Source organism: Homo sapiens, chromosome 20 (genome assembly GCF_000001405.40).
Source record: "Homo sapiens chromosome 20, GRCh38.p14 Primary Assembly".
NCBI classification, from domain to species: domain Eukaryota; kingdom Metazoa; phylum Chordata; class Mammalia; order Primates; family Hominidae; genus Homo; species Homo sapiens.
The window spans coordinates 36,902,000-36,923,731 of NC_000020.11; the positions used below are offsets into that span (position 1 = coordinate 36,902,000).

A 21,732-nucleotide genomic window follows, 5' to 3' on the forward strand; every position below is an offset into this window, starting at 1 on the left:
GAGGAAGGCTTGTTTCTTTGGTGAGAAAGGTCTAAGGAGTTGCTACCTAATGGCCTATAGTTTATCTTGGAAATAGGAGCCAAAGGTTGGGTTACTCATGAGGATGAATACAGCTGGAGGTGGGAAGCATGGTTGGAGTTCTGAGAGGAGGGAGGACAGTTTGAAATGATGATGATGATTATTAGTAGTAGTATTTTTTGAGATGAGGGTCTTGCTCTGTTGCCCAGGCTGGAGAGCAGTGGCATGATCTTGGCTCACTGCAACCTCCGCCTCCCAGGTTCAAGTGATTCTCCTGCCTCAGCCTCCTTGAGTAGCTGAGATTATCAGCACCCACCACCATCCCTGGCTAATTTTTGTATTTTTAGTAGAGATGGGGTTTTGCCATGTTGGCCAGGCTGGTCCCGAACTCCTGACCTCAGGTGATCGTCCGCCTCGGCCTCCCAAAGTGCTGGGATTGCAGGCGTGAGCCACTGTGCCTGGACTGAAATGATTATTAGAGACTGGGAGAATCACACTAAGCCTGCCAGAAGGCCCAGCTTAGTTTCGTGACCGGAAATTTATAGATATGCCTGTATAGTGATGGTATCCAGGAGCATTTATGTGTCCAGGTATGGGTGTGGAGATGTTTAGATTTGATTCATCTAGGTTGTTTGGCCTTCTGCTAGGTAGATGCAAAGAAGGAAAAGAGAGTTGAGGGTAACTGCAGAAAATGAGTGAATTACTGTATCACGTTATCTAAGATACTTTTTTTTTTTTGAGATGGAGTCTCACTCTGTCGCCCAGGCTGGAATGCAGTGGTGTGATCTCGGCTCACTGCAACCTCTGCCTTCTGGGTTCAAGCAATTCTCCTGCCTCAGCTTCCCAAGTAACTGGGATTATAGGCGCGCACCACCACACCTGGCTGATTTTTTGTATTTTTAGTAGAGATGGGGTTTCGCCGTGTTGGGCAGGATGGTCTCAACCTCCTGACTTCAAGTGATTCACTCGCCTTGGCCTCCCAAAGTACTGGGATTATAGGCGTGAGCCACCTCACTCGGCCTACACGTGGAGAGAAATGAAGATAGAAGGCCACTGACAAGCTCGAAGAAAGTGAGGACACAATAAACTAGAGGGCCTGATGAGCTAGGAAAACATGGATGAGGAAGAAAGGGGTTTGTGGACAGAGAAAAGTATGTTAAACTAGTGATTTTACAGGGAGGGCAGTTTTGAATGTTGATAAGGTCCAGGGTGTAATCTGCTGAGACTATTGGCCTGAGGTGCAGTGCTGTCTCGCTCTGTTGCCCAGGCTGGAGTGCAGTGGCGTGATCTCGGCTCACTGCAACCTCCGCCTCCCAGGTTCAAGCGATTCTCCTGCCACAGCCTCCTGAGTAGCTGGGACTACAGGCACACACCACCATACCCAGCTAATTTTTGTATTTTTAGTAGTGATGGGGGTTTCACCATGTTGGCCAGGATGGTCTCAATCTCCTGACTTTGTGATCGACCCGCCTCGGCTTCCCAAAGTGCTAGGATTACAGGCATGAGCCACCGTGCCCAGCAATTTTTTTTTTCTTTTTCTTTTTTTTTTTTGGAGACAGTCTTACTCTGCTGCCCAGGCTGGAGTGCAGTGGCATGGTCTCGGCTCACTGCAACCTCTGCCTCCTGGGTTCAAGCAATCCTCCTGCCTCAGCCTCCCGAGTAGCTGGGACTACAGGCGCAAACCACCAAGCCCGGCTAATTTTTTTGTATTTTTACTAGAAATGGGGTTTTGCCTTGTTGGCCAGGCTGGTTTTGAACTCCTGACTCAGGTGATCCACCCACCTCTGCCTCCCAAAGTTCTGGGATTACAGGCGTGAGCCACCGTGCCTGGCCCCACAACTTTTTCCTCTGTGCTTGTATGCAGGCAATAAAAAAAATTAAAATGTATTACTTGTGTAATTAAAAATTTTTAATTAATATAGACAATGTAATCACATGACCACAATTATATTAAAAATAATGGCAAAACATCATGAACAAAATGTTTTTGTGGTTAATAATATTGGTTCTCTTTGTGAGGGCACATCATCTTTCTGTATTTTTCTAATTTGCTAAAATGAACATGTACTACTTTTATAATGGTGGGTGCTTTATCTTTAAAACGTATTCACTCAGTTTATTACTGGGCTAATTACTTACATCCACTATAAAATCTTCAGCCTTCAGTTTCACGTCTAGCAATACTTTGGGTTTAGCACTGGCAACCTCTTTTGGAAGAGATTCATAGTCCTCCTGGAAAACACAAGACTCCCCATGTTAGAATCCATTTTTCATCAAGTCTTTGAGCCACAAACAGGTTCTCTTTATGAAAATGGCACCTAACTAAGAAAAACGATTAGAGATATCCTTAACAAATATAGCTCCTACCAATGTCACTCGTTAAACAAAGAGAGCATTTTTGTAAAAAATTGTAAAAAGTGGCCAGGCGCAGTGGCTCACGTCTATAATCCCAGCACTTTGGGAGGCCCAGGTGGGCGGATCATGAGGTCGGGAGTTCGAGACCAGCCTGACCGACATGGTGAAACCCCGTCTCTACTAAAAATACAAAAATTAGCTGGGCGTGGTGGCGGGTGCCTGTAATCCCAACTACTCGGGAGGCTTAGGCTGGAGAATTGCTTGAATCCGGGAGGTGGAGGTTGCAGTGAGCTGAGATCGCGCCACTGCACTCTAACCTGGGTGACAGAGCGAGACTCTGTCTAAAAACAAACAAACAAACAAACAAAATTCACATTTTGAAAAAAAAAAAGTGACATTAACCTATTAGTACAACAAGAGGAAGTAAAGTATAACCCAAGAAATTATTGAGGTAGGATGTGGTTATAAGTATGACTTGTGTTACGGCTTTCTGGCAAACAGAAAACTCTTCAACAAGTAGGAGGTGAAAATAGATATTTGAGCTAAAGAAGACAGGTATGTGCCATCTGGGAGACTGATATCCTGTGAAGGAACCAAGTCATTACAACAGGTCACCACAGCCTCAATGAAGCTCATGCAGGCACTTTCTTTTGAGGTTCCTTTCCCTTATATTCATTTTCTCATGTCTGAATCTAGCCAAAATTGGAGACCCACTCTCACTTCCTGGATGAGATCAAAGATTTGGAGTTAAGTTAGACCTGGCTTTTGAATCCTGGCTAAATATGCTTTCATGAGCAAGTTATTTAATCTCAGTGAAGCCTCAGTTTCTCTATCTGTAAAACAGGCCTAAGACCCCTGCACTACTGTGAAGATTAAATGAGAATAAACGTAAAGCACTTAGTACAGAGTCATAGTATCACGATAGGTTAGTGGTCTCCTCTTGGAGGACAGAGATAACCTTTCACTAATGGAAAGATGCCTGATAACTCACCCTTTTAATCTTTATTTGTCCTGTTGGCTGCGTCTCACCCACATACTTGAATAGATTACGGTATTCAATTTGTTTTAAAATCTCTCGTGCGTCTTTCAATTTGGGATCAGTAGAGTATAAAATCTCCAGAAAAATGTTATCTGCCAATTTAATGACATTTCAGTTATATTAAAATAAAAACACAGAGTTAAAGAATTATATAGTGCTATTCTATTGAAATGATCTTAACAGGCAGTTCGCAAATGTAGGTACATTATTATTTTAGCAATGTGAGAAAAATTTTTAAAAGATTTAAGTGAAAAAACCTTTTAAAACTGTTCCAGTCGGCCAGTCATAGTGGCTCATGCCTGCAATCCCAGCACTCTGAGAGGCCGAGGCGGGCGGATCACTTGAGGTAAGGAGTTCAAGACCAGCCTGTCCAACATGGTGAAATCCTGTCTCTACTAACAATACAAAAAAATTAGCTGGGTGTAGTGGCGGGCGCCTGTAATCCCAGCTACTCAGGAGGCTGAGGCAGGAGAATTGCTTGACCCCGGAAAGTGGAGGTTACGGTGAGCCAAGATTGTGCCATTGCACTCAAGCCTGGGCAACAAGAGCGAGAGACTGTCTCAAAAAAAAAAAAAAGTTCCTGTCAATGTCTTGGATTTACTTCCAGGTAATCCAGAGAGTGGGGAAGGATAGAGAGAAATAAGACTGCATTGGAGTTGATGACTGCTGAGCTGGGTGATGGGCACATAAAGGTGTATGGATTTATTGTTGACATGTTTTATTTTGTCTTTAAGAAAGAATGGTGGCTAGGCGCTGTGGCTCACACCTGTGATCCCAGCAATTTGGGAGGCCAAGGCAGGTGGATCACCTGAGGTCAGGAGCTTGAGACCAGCCTGGCCAACATGGCAAAACCCTGCCTCTACCAAAAATACAAAAATTAGCCGGGCATGGCGGTGCATGCCTGTGGTCCCAACTACTCAGGAGGTTGAGGCAGGAGAATCGCTTGAACCCTGGAGGTGGAGGTTGCAGTGAGCCGAGATGGCGCCACTGCACTCCCACCTGGGTGACAGAGTGACACTATCTAAAAAATAAAAATAATAAAAAGAGAACGGTCCTGAAGTATTTACAAGCAAAATTATGTCTAGGATCTGCTTCTAAATTGTCCAGTGTTTGACAAGAGTGGGTAGATGAAGCAAAACTGCCATGTGTTGATAACTGTTGAAGCTAAGTGACAGGTACATGGCTTTGTAAATTTCTATAATAATAAAACAATGATTTTTTAATGTCCCATTCGATGATGAGAGTAGAAGAAATGTTTTTCCTTTCTTTCATTTTCTCCCAATTTTTATTTTGAAAAATTTCAAAATAAAATATCCTTCACTTAAATTCAACAATTGTTAATGTTTTTCTGCATGCGCTTTCTCCATATATATATATCTGTGCAATTTTTTTTTTTTTGAGACAGAGTCTTGCTTTGTCACCCAAGTTGGAGTGCGGTGGCGTGATCTTGGCTCACTGCAACCTCTACCTCCTAGGTTCAAGTGATTCTCGTGCCTCAGCCTCCTGAGTAGCTGGAACTACAGGTACATGCCACCACACCCAGCTAATTTTTGTATTTTCAGTAGAGATTGGGTTTCCCCATGTTGGCCAGGCTGGTCTCGAACTCCTGGCCTCAAGTGATCCACCCGCCTCAGCCTCCCAAAGTGCTGGGATTCCAGGTATGAGCCACTGCACCTGGCCTTTTTTTTTTTTTTTAAGGAGACAAGGTCAGGTTCTGTGGCCTAGGCTGAAGTGCAGTGGCGCGATCATAGTTCACTGCAGCATCAAAGTCCTGTGCTCAAGCAATCCTCCTGCCTCAGCCCTTGAGCAGCTGTGACTACAGACGTACACCACCATGCCTGGCTAAATTTTTTTTTGTTTGTTTTTGAGACAGGGTCTCGCTCTGTTGTCAGGCTGGAGTGAAGTGGCACGTGATCATGGCTCACTGCATCCTCGACCTCCTGGACTCAGGCAATCCTCACGCCTCAGCCTCCTGAGTAACTGGGACTATAGGCACATGCCACCATGCCCAGCTAAACCAAAAGCTAGTTTAAATGTAAATATAATTTGAAAAAATTAATCTTCCTGCCTTAGTCTCTTGAACAGCTGGGACTAAAGGCACATGCCGCCACACCTGGATAAAGATGACTTTTTTTTTTTTTTTTTTTTTAGACAGACTCACCCTGTTACCCAGGCTGGAGTGCAATGGTGCGATCTCAGCTCACTGCAACCTCCGCCTCCTGGGTGCAAATGATTCTCCTGCCTCAGCCTCCAGAGTAGCTGGGATTACAGGCGCCAGGCTGGTCTCGAACTCCTGACCTCGTATCTGCCCACTTCGGCCTCCCAAAGTGCTGGGATTACAGGCGTAAGCCACCATGCCTGGCTGACTTTTTAAAATATGGCATCACTTGCATTATTATGAATGAAAATTAAAAGTAAATATCTTCAGCTTGTTCAATTTTTTTTTTAACTTTTATTTTACTTATTTATTTATTTTATTTTTGAGAAGGAGTCTTGCTCTGTCATCCAGGCTGGAATACAGTGATGCCATCTCAGCTAATTGCAGCCTCCGCCTCCTGGGTTCAATTGATTCTCGTGCCTCAGTCTCCGAGTAGCTGGGACTACAGGCACCCGCCAGCACGCCCAGCTAATACTTTGTATTTTTAGTAGAGACAGGGTTTCACCATGTTGGTCAGGCTGGTCTTGAACTCCTGAACTCAAGTGATCCACCTGCCTCAGCCTCCCAAGGTGTTGGGATTATAGGCGTGAGCCACCCTGCCTAGCCTTACATGTATATTTTTAAAGAACAATGTATATAGTTCTTGTAATTTAATTTTTAAATTTTTTCTCTATCATTATTATTATTATTTGATACAGGGTCTCGCTCTGTTACCCAGGCTGGACTTCAGTGGTGCAATCTTGGCTCACTGCAACCCCGGCCTCCTGGGCTCCAGTGATCCCCCCAACCTCAGCATCCTGAGTAGCTGGGACTACAGGCACGCACCACCAGGGCTAATTTTTAAATTTTTTAGAAACAGGGTTTCACCATGTTGCCCAGGCTGGTCTCAAACTCCTGGGCTCAAGCGATCCAACTGCCTTGGTTTCCCAGAGTGCTGGGATTATAGGCACGAGCCACCTTGTCTGGCCTATTATTTATCTTTTGATTGAATTTACTGAAAGGTGTAATGTGAAGTCTGTCAAGTTGAATAATAAAAATTTGGGCTTGTATTTTACATGCCTTTTCCCCCCATTTCATTTTTCTAGTAATTCATTTTTATCATACTTTACAGAAATATCAATCTGCAAGGGGTTGGTAATTTTAAAAACTGGTTCTTCAAACACAGTTTAGGAGGAGCTAGTTTAGGTTTCATTCTGTCAGTGTGCAGCAAATAGAATCCAGCTGTGGTAGAACGGCAGCACTCTCGGCAGGAAGCTACGGTAGAGTGATTAGGCTGTGTCTTAGGTCACTTGGCTTCTGTTGTTTTTCTCCATTTTCAGAGCCTCCAGCCTTTCCACGGATTCTGTAAGCTATGTGATTGCTTTCCAATTTTATTTTTATTTATTTATTTATTTTTATTTATTCATTTTTGAGACAGAATCTTGCTCTGTTGCCTAGGCTGGAGCGCAGTGGTGCGATCTCTGCTCACCGCAACCTCTGCCTCCTGGGTTCAAGCGATTCTCCTGCCTCAGCCTCCTGAGTAGCTGAGATTACAGGTGCGTGCCACCACGCCTGGCTCATTTTTGTATTTTTAGTAGAGACGGGGTTTTACAATTTTGGACAGGATGGTCTCGAACTCCTGACCTCAGGTAATCTGCCTGCCTTGGCCTCCCAAAGTGCTGGGATTACAGGCGTAAGCCACCGTGCCCGGCCCAATTTTATTTTTAGTTAAACAGTTTCATAATTTGTAACTAAGAACTCTGACTGGTGTACACTTTTTGTTCTACTTCTTTTGCTTTATCTCAGTCAATACTTTCCCACATTAAAGAACCAGCTGTGGCTGGGCGCGGTGGCTCACACCTGTAATGCCAGCGCTTTGGGAGGCCGAGGCAGATGGATCATCTGAGATCAGGAGTTCCAGACCAGCCTGGCTGACATGGTGAAACCCCGTCTCTAGTAAAAATACAAAAAAATTAGCTGGGCATGGTGGTGGGCGCCTGTAATCCCAGCTACTCAGGAGGCTGAGGCAGGAGAATCGCTTGAACTCAGGAGGCGGAGGTTGCAGTGAGCCGAGATCGTGCCATTGCATTACAGCCTGGGCTACAAGAGCAAAACTCTGTCCACCCCCCTCCAAAAAAAAAAAAAAAAAAAAAAAAGAACCACCTTTACCCTTTACCTCTCTTTCCTCCTTTCCACACTAAGCTGCAGATTTTGTTTCTGCAGAAGTGTGGACAGATGTTCCTGGCATCTTGTGTTTTTATAATGAAAATAATGTTAAATGGCCAAGTCAGTTTTTTGGTGTTCAATATTAGTCCAGGTATGAGTTAAATAATGACAAGTCTGGGCAACATAATGGGACCCTGTCTCTACAAAAATTAAAAAAATTACTCAGGTGTGGCCGGGCGGTGTCTCACGCCTGTAATCCCAGCACTTTCGGAGGCTGAGGCAGGCGGATCATGAGGTCAGGAGATCGAGACCATCCTGGCTAACAAGGTGAAACCCCATCTCTACTAAAAATACAAAAATTAGCCAGGTGTGGTGGCGGGCGCCTGTAGTCCCAGCTACTCGGGAGGCTGAGGCAGGAGAATGGTGTGAACCCGGGAGGCAGAGCTTGTAGTGAGCCGAGATTGTGCCACTGCACTCCAGCCTGGGCGACAGAGCAAGACTCCGTATCAAAAAAAAAAAAAAAAATTCCCAGGTGTGGTGGCACATGCCTATAGTCCCAAGTAGCCAAATCAGCTACTTGGCTGAGGCTGAGGCAAGAGGATCACTTGAGCTCCGGAGGTTGAGGCTGCAATAAGCTGTGATGGCACCACTGCACTCCAGCCTGGATGACAGAATAAAATCTTGTCTGAAAATAAATAAATAAAAAAAAATTAAATTTAAAAGTTAAATAATGGGCCGGGCGTAGTGGCTCACGTCTGTAATCCTAGCACTCTGGGAGATGGAGGCGGGTGGATCACATGAGGTCAGGAGTTCGAGAAGACCCTGGCCAATATGGTAAAACCCTGTCTCTACTAAAAATACAAAAATTAGCTGGGCATGGTGGGGCATGCCTATAATCTCAGCTACCCAGGAGACTGAGGCAGGAGAATTGCTGAAACCCAAGAGGTGGAGGTTGCAGTGAGCCAAGATTGTGCCAGTGCACTCCAGCCTAGGTGACAGAGCGAGACTCCATCTCCAAAAAAAAAAAAAAAGTTAAATAATGTATATTGAGTACTTACGTATCAAGTCTATACTAGGTGCTATGCCTCATTTAAACATCACAACAAAACTATATGCTAGGTATCATTACCCTCATTTTATAGATGAAAGATTCAGATAGGTCAAATCCCTTTATCAAAGTCACTTTATTGGTACAAGACAGAAATAAAACTCAAATTCAAAAGGAGATAATTACTTGGGAAGCTAAAATCGTTCCATCGGCTGTGTACAGTGGGTCACACCTGTAATCCTAGCACTTTGGGAGTCAAGGCAGGAAGATCGCTTGAGCCCAGGAATTTGAGAGAAGCCTGGGCAATATAGTGAGACCCTTTCTTTATTTTTTTAAAATTAAATAATTATCTTTAAAAATGAAAAATAAAAGAAAGAAAAATAACTCATTGGCAATTCAGGGACTTCTTACAGTTTATCTGAGATGGACCATCTATGTTACCTGTTACTTCTTACCTGTCAGCTTAGTATAGGCTTCCATGTCGTCAATTGCTGTAGAAATGCGATACTTTTTTCCTCCAGCACCTGTAATCTCTATGTAGTCATCTGCTTTGAGGAAAGCATCTGTAATCCTAAAAATCATTTTGCAAAAATTTATGTTTATGAGAAATTTTGAATATTTGCCTTATGTCTTACTTAAGGAAATCTTTCTACTTTAGGGAAACAAAATAATGAGGCACAGTGTTCTAAAGACAACTGCTTCTCCACCGTACTAAATTTGTGCTTGGTAAGCTGTGAGCTGCCATGCTTACTGTGTTCCAGGCACTGTCGCAGGGCTTTGCATTCACCATCTTATTTATTCCTCCCAACAATAAGGTAGGTGTATTCAGCCCTCATTTTATAGATGCAGAAATGAAGTAAATTTTGATTTAACCAAGTTAGGAAGAAACAGTGCCAGGCTTTGAAACTAGATATCTCTGAATTACAAAACAACAACAATAACAACAACAAAAACTCTTACCGAAGAATTAACATACAAATAGGAGAAGGTATTCCAAGTAATCTGCTCATGACAAAGGATAGGTAAAAAATAGGAATGAAGATATACTTCCTCAACACAAATGTGAAAACGAACATGAAAAGTTAATCAATTTAAGGCTATTTTAGAGACATGGAAGAAGTAACTTGACTCACACCCAGTGTTTGATAACTCCTTATGGATCTTTGAGTCACGGAGAGACCTGGCTGTACAGTTTTCTGCTATGGTTCTGACTGGGTCAGGAAGAGGTAAAATTCCTGTTGGTTTTACCATTTGGTACTAATTTTGATAAATATTTGAAAGGATACAAATAGACATTAATCTTAATCCTTAAAGTTAACTTTTGTCATTAATCTCAGAATTTAAATATTCATGTCCTACCTCCCATTCTCCTGATGAGAATGGTGTGTAAGTGACTACCTGTGCCGAGGTCCTGAGTGATCTCAGCACTGCCGCTTCACGTCTGGCCTAAGCCAGCTCTTCTTCCCTTCATCTGCCCCTTTATCCACTTCCCTCCATCTGCCCCTTTATCCACTTCCCTCCTTTTCCTCCAACTAAATTAACTTTATGCTAGATTTTTTTTCTTTAAGGAAACCATTTTCAATTTAATCACTTAATATTCACTTGAACTCATCTAGAAATGTCTAGTTGAGCCTAGTATGATACTCTAGCCAAGTATCAAGGAAAATTTTATAGGGAAATGACAATCAAGTTTCTTACATTGTATCAATAATGTTGCCAACTTTGTGTTGATAAGCTCTACGGTGTAAAGAGTTGCGAGTGTGGAACATGTCATACAGATTTCCAACTTCCTGCAGGAAAACATGAAGTAAATATTAATAGGATCAGATTATGTTAACGTTATTAGAGACAAGTATATAGGACAAGGAAGGAAAAGGGATAGTGGCAGACAAGAGGGCTATGCACCGGGGCTTCTTCATTAACACCTTTGACCCCACTAAAAAATGAGGAGGCAGATTAGTAAAGCCATTTATTGGCTTGCAACTTTCATTTTTTTTTTTTTTTTTTTTTTTTTTAAAAGATGAGGTCTTGCTATGTTGCTCAGGCTGGTCTTAAGTGATCTTCCTACCTCAGCCTTGCTGGGATAACATGCATCAGCCACTGTACCCAGCTAACTTTCATTCTTTGTTTTTTTTTTTTTTTTTTTTTTTTTTGAGATGGAGTCTCGATCTGTTGCCCAGGCTGGAGTACAAGTCCTTCATTGCAAGAACTTTCATTCTTTTTCTTTTCTTTCTTCCTTTTTTTTTTTTTTTGAGATGGAGTCTCGCTCTGTTGCCCAGGCTGGAGTGCAGTGGCGCCATCTCGGCTCACTGCAAGCTTTGCCTCCTGGGTTCATGCCATTCTCCCGCCTCAGTCTCCCGAGTGGCTGGGACTACAGGCGCCTGCCACCAAGCCCGGCTAATTTTTTTGTATTTTTAGTAGAGATGGAGTTTCACTGTGTTAGCCAGGATGGTCTCAATCTCCTGACCTCATGATCTGCCCGCCTCGGCCTCCCATAGTGCTGGGATTACAGGCGTGAGCCACTGTGCCCGGCCAAGAACTTTCATTCTTAATAAACTAGGCCAGGTGCGATGGCTCATGCCTGTAACCCCAGCACTTTGGGAGGCCGAGGTGGGCAGATCACCTGAGGTCAGGAGTTCAAGACCAGCCTGGCCAACATGGTGAAACCCTGTCTCTACAAAAATACAAAAATTAGCCGGGCATGATGGCGGGTGCCTGTAATCCCAGCTACTAGGGAGGCTGAGGTGGGAGAATCACTTGAACCCAGGAGGCGGAGGTTGCAGTGAGCGGAGATCACGCCATTGCACTCCAGTCTGGGTGACAGAGCAAGACTCCAACTCAAAGAAAAAAAAAAAAAACCCTAAAATCTATCACATGCTCAAACTCTGTGACAGTTTCCGTTTTAGGCATCTTAAATTAAATATATATATATTTTAATCCTCCCAATAACTCTAGGAAATAGGTATTACTATTCTTATGTTCTTCATTCTTGACTTTTTTTTTTTTTTTTAGACAGTCTCGCTCTGTCACCCAGGTTGGAATGCAGTGGCACACAATCTTGGCTCACTGCAACCTCCACCTCCCAGGTTCAACCGATTCTCGTACCTCATCCTCCTGAGTAGCTGGGATTACAGGTGTATGCTACCACGCCTGGCTAATTTTTGTATTTTCAGTAGAGACAGGGTTTCACTATGTTGGCCAGGATGGTCTCAAACTCGGTAGCCCAAGAGATTTGCCCACCTCAGCCTTGCGAAGTAGTGGGATTACAGATATGTACCACCACGCCTAGCCCTTCTTGACTTTCTATAGTATAGTACTATACTACTTTTTGATTACATGACTGCCATCTAACAGGGACCTAGTGATTTCAGCTGTTTAACTACAGTTGACCTTTAACAACACATGTTTGAACTGTGAGAGTTCACTTATACAGATTTCCTTGCCCCGCTGCCACCCCTGAGACAGTAAGACCAATCCCTCCTGTTCCTGAGCCTACTTAATGTGAAGACGATGAGGATGAAGACCTTTATGATGATCTACTTCCACTTAATGAATAGTAAATATACTTTCTCTGCCTTATGAATTTCTTTCTTTCTTTTTTTTTTTGAGGTGGAGCCTTGCTCTGCCGCCCAGGCTGGAGTGCAGTGGCGCAATCTCGGCTTACCACAGCCTCCGCCTCCCGGGTTCAAGTTATTTTTCTGCCTCAGCCTCCCAAGTAGCTGGGATTACAGGCACTCGCCACTGCGCCCAGCTAATTTTTGTATTTTGAGTAGAGACGGAGTTTCACCATGTTGCCCAGGTTGGCCAGGCTGGTCTCGAACTTCTAACCTCAGGTGATCTGCCCACCTTGGCCTCCCAAAGTGCTGGGAATACAGGTGTGAGCCACCACGCCTGGCCTTGCCTTATGATTTTCTTAATAACATTTTCTTTTCTCTAGCTTACTTTATTGTAAGAATACAGTAGATGGGGCGTGGCGGCTCACACATGTAATACCAGCACTTTGGGAGGCCAAGGAGGACAAGTTGCTTGAGGTCAGAAGTTCGAGACCAGCCTGGGGAACATAGCGAAACCCTGTCTCTACAAAAAAAAAAATAGAAAAATTAGCCCGGTATAGTGGCATGCGCCTGTGGTCCCAGCTATTCGGGAAGCTGAAGTGGGAGATTTGCTTGAGCTGGGAAGGTGGAGGTTGCAGTGATCTGAGATCGCACCACTACACTCCAATCTGGGTGACAGAGTAAGATCCTGTATCCAAAAAGAAAAAAAAGAATATGGTATATGATACACGTAACATTCAAAATAGGCTGGATGCAGTGGCTCACACCTATAATCATAGCACTTTAGGAGACTGAGGTGGATGGGTTGCTTGAGCCCAGGAGTTTGAGACCAGCCTGGGCAACACAGTGAAACTCCACCTCTGTAAAATAAATTTCAGAATTAGCCAAGCATAGGCCTGTAGTCCCAGCTACTCGGGAGGCAGAGGAGGAAGGATCAGTTGAGCCCAGGAAGTCAAGGCTACAATGCACTATGATAGTGCCACTGTACTCCAGCCTGAGTAACACAGCAAGACCCTGTCTGGAAAGAAAACAAAAAACATACAAAATGTGTGTAACTGACCATTAAGGTTATCAATAAGGCTTCTGGTCAACAGAAGGCTATTTAGTTAAGTTTTTGGGAAGTCAAAAGTTATATGCAGGCCAGGTACAGTGGCTTACACCTATAATGCCAGCACTTTGGGAGGCTGAAGCGGGTGGATCACTTGAGGTGAGGAGTTCGAGACCAGCCTGGCCAACATGGTGAAACCCTGTTTCCACTAAAAAGACAAAAATTAGCTGGGCGTGGTAGCATGCATCTGTAAACCTAGCTAGTCACAAGGCTGAGGCAGAAAAATCACTTGAAGCCAGGAGGCAGAGCTTGCAGTGAGCCGAGATCATGCCACTGTACCCCAGCCTAGGCAACAGTGGGAGACTCCATCTCCAAAAAAAAAAAAAGGTAAAGAAAAGTTTTATACAGATTTTCAACTAGGAGAGGGGACAGCACCCCTAAACACCATTTTGTTCAGGTGTCAACTGTATAAAATTTTTCAACACTAATACAGTGATTAAAAATGAGACTCTGGGCCAGGCACCTTGGCTCATGCCTGTAATCCCAGCACTTTGGGAGGCCGAGGCGGGCAGATCACGAGGTCAAGAGATTGAGACCATCCTGGCTAACACGGTGAAACCCTGTCTCTACTAAAAATACAAAAAAAATTAGCCGGGCATAGTGGCGAGTGCCTGTAGTCCCAGCTACTAGGGAGGCTGAGGCAGGAGAATGGCGTGAACCCGGGAGGCGGAGCTTGCAGTGAGCCGAGATCGTGCCACTGCACTCCAGCCTGGGTGACTGAGCGAGACTCCGTCTCAAAAAAAAAAAGAGAGAGACTCTGGAACCAAACTTTTTGGGTTGAAATTCCAACTCTACCACTTGTTAATTATATGCCTTCTCTGTGCCTTAATTTGCTTGCCTGTTGAATGGAATAATAGTATCTATCTCACAGGGTTATACGGAATGAGTTGATCCGTCCAAAGCACTTAAAATGATGCCTCATACAAGCCAGGCATGATAGTGTGCACCTGTAGTCCCAGCTACTTGGGAGGCTGAGGAGGGAGGATCACTTGAGCTCAGGAGTTCAAGACTAGCCTGGGCAACACAGTGAGATCCTATTTCAAAAAAAAAAAATGCAACCAACCAAACAAAAAAACCCCAAAACCAGTGTCTAACTCAAAACTTAATAAATGTCCATGTTAATTTTATTATTATTTAATAATGCAGTAGAAGGGAAGAGACTAAAGATATTTACAAATCCTAGGAATTAAGTAAAGAGACTGACGATTTACCAATTATTCCAAATTGTTAAATGGTTATTTCCAAATTTCAGACCAGGAACAACATTCTTCTTATTGCCTCCTCTGGCACAGCTTACCTTATCTCTAGCACAAATACGCAACTCATTGTCTACTTCACAGACACGGGCAAACTTAATAAAGCGCTTGTAATCAAAATTATTTTGGATTCCAAGATGATGGCAGTCCCTAGAAGGATTCCAAAACAGAGAGATGAAATTTTTCAACAAGGAAGCTGTACCTTAAATAGTAATACTAAATTTATATAAATATTTTAGCCAACTTTTCAGAAGTGTTCAGTGCATACCTGGCAAAATAATCCCATTTGTCCACATCAATGCCATTTCTTTTATTAGATACTATCTCATAAAGGAAGCTTTTGTTTTCAGGACGCCCTTTATATGGCCACTGGAAGGCAAGAAAACCCACTGGAAGTTTTAGGATAGGCACCAAATCTATTTATAAACAAAGCAAAGCAATTTTATTAATCTGTAAAATATAAACAGATACCTGACTGGGAATATGAGATAAACTAGAAGGTTCTATTCTTTCTTTCTTCCACTTCATTTCAAAACTAGTAGAAAGGGAAAAGAAATGCTAAGGTATATGATACCCTATTGTTACCACATTTTCTTGTGCCACTGAAAAGATCTGAACTCTATTACATTTCCCAAAACCAACAACTTTTGTGTTTTCTTGGTTTATAAGTTTTTGAAAAATATAAAATCTAGGCCAGGCATGGTGGCTCACGCCTGTAATCTCATCACTTTGGGAGGCCGAGGAGGGCGGATCACGAGGTCTGGAGTTTGAAACCAGCTTGGCCAAGATGGTGAAACCCTGTCTCTACTAAAAACACAAAATTAGTTGGGCATGGTAGCAAGTGCCTGTACTCCCAGCTACTCAGGAGGCTGAGGCAGGAGAATCGCCTGAACTCAGGAGGCGGAGGTTGCAGTGACCTGAGGTTGTGCCACTGCCCTCTAGCCTGGGCAACAGAGCAAGACACCGTCTCAAAAATAAATAAATAAATAATATAAAATCTAATAATAAACTAACAATGCTTGAATTCATGCATTAAAACAGTACTATCTTTCAAAGTAGCTACATACCTAGTCTAAATAATATGCATTGTTGAATGTATTCTTTGAGCTCCACTTTTTTGGAAATAGGATATTTGCTACAAAACTCATCTGTTTATCTTATACTGTAAGTACACTTGTATATATTTGAGGAAACAGCCCTAAAAATCTCAGGGGGAAATTATTTCCCAACTTTATTTTTAATTAAAAAAATACAAAAGATCAAAAAGGAAACAAAACAGATTTTCCATTGAACTGGTTCAACTTTTTTGTAGATCTTCCTATAAATATTTCAAATATGATTTTTTTTTAAATTTGTAGACAGGATCTAGCTCTGTTGCCCAGGCTGGAGTGCAGTTGCACAATCACAGATCACTGCAGCCTGCCTCAGCCTCCCAAGCATCTGAGACTACAGGCATGAGACAGGGTTTCAGTATTACCCAGGCTGATCTCAAACTCCTGGGCTCAAGTGATCCTCCCATCATGGCCTCCCAAAGTGCTGGGATTACAGGCATGAGTCACTGAGCCTGGCCAAATATGTTCATTTTAATGGTTAAATAAAACATACACATTTACATTCCAAACAAAGTTACTTTAGGCTTCTATATAAAATACTGCAGGCCAGGTATGGTGGCTCACGCCTGCAATCCCAGTATTTTGGGAGGCCAAAGTGGGAGAATCACTTGAGCCCAGGAGTTCGAAACCAGCTTAGGCAACATAGTGAGACCACATCTCCAAAAAAAAAAATTTTTTTTAATGAATAAAATACTGCATATATATTCACTAAAAAAGAATTTATGGCCGGGCGCGGTGGCGGCTCACGCTTGTAATCCCACCACTTTGGGAGGCTGAGGCGGGTGGATCACCTGAGGTCAGGAGTTTGAGACCAGCCTGGGCAACATGGTGAAACCCCGTCTCTACTAAAAATACAAAGATTTGCCGGGCGTGGTGGCACACACCTGTAATCCCAGCTACTCAGGAGGCTGAAGCAGAAGAATTGCTTGAGCCTGGGAGACAGAGGTTGCACTGCGCTGAGATCATGCCACTGTACTCCAGCCTGGCCAACACAGTAAGACTCTATCTCAAAAAAAAAAAAAAAAAAAAAAAGAAAGAAAGAAAGAAAAGAAAAGAATTTATGCCAAGCACAGTGGCTCACACCTGTAATCCCAGCACTTTCAGAGGCAGAGCTGGGCAGATCACTTGAGCTCAGGATTTCAAGACTAACCTGGGCAACGTGACAAAACCCCATCTCTACAAAAAATACAAAAATTAGCTGGGCATGGTAGTGCACGTTTGTGGTCCCAGCTACTCAGGAGGCTGAGGTAGGAGGATCGCTTGAGCCTGGGAGGTGGAAGTTGCAGTGAGCTGAGATTGTGCCACTGCACTCCAGCCTGTGTGACAGAGTAAGACCCTGTCTCTAAAAAGAATTTCTGTATATATATTTTTGGGAAGTAACTTCTAACTAATTCAGTTGAGAGGTAGAAAAAAATATAAGCCTTTTATTTTTTGCATTAAACAGTAGAAACATAGAACTCATATTTTATCATTTAGCCTCTAAAATAGCCAAATGTATAACTCAGAAGGAATCATGAAAAGGCTAGATGAAAAGCACCAGTCAGTTAAAATTAAGCTGTACATAAACTTACCAATGAATCTTCGACAGGTGATTCAAGTGGTCCTACAATTTGTTCCTTTATAAAGCAAATATCTTCTTCAGGGATGAGACCATATTGTTCCATGACAGGCTTAATTCCATTAGAATTAATAAGGTGCTCAAACATCATAACTGAGCCTTGTTCATGCTAGGAAAAGTAAGCACAATATGATGTGTTAAAGATTCTAGCCCATTGGGAGCCCTGACTAACAAAATTATCCTCAATTCCAAGTAATTCTGAGATAAAGGTCTATTGCATATTAATTCTCTAGTTTCTAACCACAATCTTAGGAACATTTTTAAAAACCTGTCAGATTTTTCATTTTACTAGTAGTCTACAAACCTTTTACAAAACTTATTTCATAAACATATTTAATGCATTTAATGATATAATCATTTACAGTTCCTAAATGAATATTATAAGATCATGTAGACAGAATTACATTTTAATAAATATCATCATAAAATTGAATTTTATTTTTTCATCAGCCTTTGAACACGTGCAGTTATAAGCTCTGTTAGGCACTACCATCTAGTGGTGAAAAGGGGTAACTGCAAACTTGCCAGTAAAAACAAAGATCTCCCTTGAAATCTCCAATTGGCCTGTTTGCTCATCTCTCTCTGCTCACTCATTCACAATCAATGTAAAGGATCAAATGAACTCCTGAAGACATCTGCCCTTTCCTAGATCCTACCAAAAACTAACTCAAGATGAAAAACAAAACCTGAATTATCCTATAACTATATTTTTTTAAAAAAAGAGACAGGGAATTGCTCTGTTGCCCTGGCTAGAGTCCAGTGATGTGATCATGGGGTCACTGTAGTCTTGAACTCCTGGGCTCAAGTGATCCTCCCACTTCAGCCTCCCGAGTAGCTGAAACCACAGGTGCACACCACCCTACCCAGCTAATTTTTAGATTTTTTTGTAGAGGCAGGGTCTTGATTTGTTGACCAGGTTGGTCTTGAACTCCTAGGCTCAAATAATCCTCCTGTCTCAGCCTCCCAAAGTGGCAGGATTACAAGCAACTTGCCCTATAACTATTCTTTCCCCGCCCCCGCAGAAACAATTCTTGCTCCAGAAACTATTCTTAAAAACAGAATCAGGGCTGTCAGGCCTGGGTGCGGTGGCTCACACCTGTAATCCCAGCGTTTTGGGAGGCCGAGGTGGGCGGATCACTTGAGGTCAACAGTACAAGTTTGGCCAACATGGCAAAACCTCCTGTCTACTAAAAAATACAAAAATTAGCCAGGCATGGTAGGGTGCACCTATAATCCCAGCTACTTGGGGGACTGAGGCAGGACAATCACTTGAACCCAGGAGGTGGAGGTTGCAGTGAGCCGAGATCGCCCTGCACTCCAGCCTGGGTGGGCAACAAAGTGACACTCTGTTTCAAAAGAAAAAAAAAAAAACCCACAAAAACAGAATCAGGCTGGGTGCAGTGGCTCACATTTGTAATCCTAGCATTTTTTTGAGAGGCAAAGGTGGGAGGATTGCTTGAGCCCAGGAGTTCGAGAGCAGCCTGGGCAACAAAGCAAGACCCTGTCTCTACAAAAAGATAAAAAGATTGGCTGGGTATAGTGACATGCGCCTGTGGTCCCAGCTACTTGGGAGACCAAGGTGGGAGGATTGCTTGAGCCCAGGTGGTTGAGGCTGCAGTTAGCTATGTTCATGCCTGTACTCCAGCCTGGGCAACAGAGCAAGACCTTGTCTCCAAAAAACAACAACAACAACAAACAAATTGGCCGGGCACAGTAGCTCACGCCTGTAATCCCAGCACTTTAGGAGGCGGAGGCAGGCAGATCACGAGGTCAGGAGATCAAGATCATACTGGCCAACATGGTGACACCCCATCTCTACTAAAAATATAAAAATTAGCTGGGTGTGGTGGCATGCACCTGTAGTCCCAGCTACTCAGGAGGCTGAAGCAGGAGAAACGCTTGAACTCGGGAGGCGGAGGTTGCAGTGAGCCGAGATCACGCCACTGCACTACAGGCTGGGCGACACAGCGAGACTCTGTCTCAAAAAAAAAAAAAAAAAAAACGAATTGAATCAAGATATACGTAATTACAAAGAGGAAAAATAGTAACTTTATAATGGAGAGATTTGACAGACAATGCCTTAATCAAGTAAGCAGAATTAATATCATTGGTATTGGCTCAACTAGGATTTATGTGCCTCCTGAGATGATACACTATGAAGGATGCATCACTGATTTTTTTGGAGACAGAGTCTAGCTCTGTCACCTCCTGGGCTCCCGGGCTCAAGCAATTCTCCTTCCTCAGCCTCCCAAGTAGGCACGTGCCACCACACCCAGCTAATTTTTTGTGGTTGTTTTTTTTTTTTTTCCCTCTTGTTGCCCAGGCTGGAGTGAAATGGCGTGATCTTGGCTCACTGCAACCTCCGCCTCCCAGGTTCAGGTGATTCTCCTGCCTCAGCCTCCCGAGTAGCTGGGATTACAGGTGCCCACCACCATGCCCAGATAATTTTTATATTTTTAGTAGAGACAGGGTTTCGCCATATTGGCCAGGCTGGTCTCCAACTTCTGACCTCAGGTAATCCACCCACCTTGGCCTCCCAAAGTGCTGGGATTACAGATGTGAGCCACTGCGTCCGATCTGGACACATCACTTTTGTGGCATTCTACCAAAAATGCATAGCTTGAATCCATGAGGAAACATCACACTGAAACTCAAATTGAGGAACATTCCACAAAATAGCTCAGTTGCTCTTTAAAAAAATGACAAAGTCACTAACGATAAAGACTGAAGAATTGCTCCAGATCAAAAGAAACTAGAAAAATGGCAACTAAATGCAATGTGTAATTCTGGACCAGGGAAAAAAAGTTTTTTTCCCCTTTTTCTATATGGACAATTGGTAAAATTTGAAAGTCTGAATTAGATAAGAGTACTGCATCAACATTAATTTACTGATTTTGATAATTATACTATGGTTATATAAGAAAATGTTGTTTTTAGGAAATACCCACTGAAGTATTTAGAAATAAAGTATTTCAACAATTTACATTCTTTGAGAGACAGGGCTCTTGCTCTATCACCCAGGCTGGAGCTCAGTGGCATATTCATAGCTCAGTGTATCCCTGAACTCCTGGATTCAAGTAATCCTCCCGTTCTCAGTAGCTAGGACCACAGGTGTGCACCACAATGACCAGCTGATGTTTTCATAATTTTGTAGAGACAGTTTCACTATGTTGCCCAGGCTGGTGTTGAACTCCTGGGCTCAAAGCTATCCTCCTGCCTTAGCCTCCCAAACTGTTGGGATTACAGGTGTAAGCCACTGTGTCCAGTCTAAAAACTAACTTTCTTTTTTTGAGACAAGTTCTCACTCTGTTACCTACGTTGGAGTGCAGTAGCACGATCACAGCTCATTGCAGCCTCGACCTCCCAGGCTCAAGCAATCCTGCCACCCCACCATGCCTGGCTAATTTTTAAATTTTTTTGTAGAGACGGGGTTTCACCATGTTGTCCAGGCTGGTCTTGAACTCCTGGGCTCAAGCGATCTGCCCACCTTGGCCTCCCAAAATGTTGATATTACAACCATGAGCCACTGTGCCTGGTCAAAACTTACTTTCTAATGATTCAGAAAAAAAATATCTATATATAAAGAGAGAGTATTTTATTTATTTTTTGACACAGTGTCTCACTCTGTCACCCAGGCTGGAGTGCAGTGGCGTGATTTCAGCTCACTGCAAGCTCCGCCTCCTGGGTTCACGCCATTCTCCTGCCTCAGCCTCCTGAGTAGCTGGGACTACAGGTGCCTGCCACCACACCCAGCCAATTTTTTTGTATTTTTAGTAGAGACGGGATTTCACCGTTAGCCAGGATGGTCTCAATCTTCTGACCTTGTGATCCGCCCACCTTGGCCTCCCAAAGTGCTCAGATTACAGGCGCGAGCCACCACGCCTGGCCAAGAGAGAGTATTTTAAAAAATAAAAATGAGGTGGATCACTTGACCCTGGGAGGCAGAGGTTGCAGTGAGCTTAGATGACATCACTGAGCTCCTGCCCGGGTGACAGGGCAAGACCCTCTCTCAAAAACAATAAAATAAAAATAAATAAATAAATAAATAAAGTAAGGGATTTTCAAAATAGTAGTTTTAAATATATCAATGCCAACTGTGAATATACTAGCAAACAGAAAAAATTAAGTTTCATAAAGCTAGCACAGACCATAATAACAACTAAAATTATAAGGAACTTAGGAGTAAGTATAACAAAGATGTATGACTTTCATGGCAAGCCTAGGCAACATAGTAAGACTCCATCTCTACAAATAAATACCCAGGTGTGACGGTGCAGGCCTGTGGCCCCAGCTACTTGGGAGGCTGAGATGGAAGGATCGC

The 21,732-nt window shown here is 43.1% G+C and overlaps 1 protein-coding gene across 3 annotated transcripts in view; it reads right to left on the reverse strand.

Annotated features, from left to right (window-relative positions):
• SAMHD1 (SAM and HD domain containing deoxynucleoside triphosphate triphosphohydrolase 1) overlaps positions 1 to 21,732 on the reverse strand; it is a 61,936-nt gene that overhangs the window by 12,227 nt on the left and 27,977 nt on the right. For all 3 annotated transcript variants that reach the window (NM_001363729.2, NM_015474.4, NM_001363733.2), the window contains exons 7-13: positions 17,365 to 17,520; positions 14,950 to 15,050; positions 14,723 to 14,831; positions 10,462 to 10,553; positions 9,219 to 9,334; positions 3,365 to 3,504; positions 2,158 to 2,250 (exon numbers count right to left, since the gene is read on the reverse strand). In NM_001363729.2, coding sequence (NP_001350658.1) covers positions 2,158 to 2,250; positions 3,365 to 3,504; positions 9,219 to 9,334; positions 10,462 to 10,553; positions 14,723 to 14,831; positions 14,950 to 15,050; positions 17,365 to 17,520 — 807 coding nt within the window. The remainder of the gene's footprint in view (positions 1 to 2,157; positions 2,251 to 3,364; positions 3,505 to 9,218; positions 9,335 to 10,461; positions 10,554 to 14,722; positions 14,832 to 14,949; positions 15,051 to 17,364; positions 17,521 to 21,732) is intronic.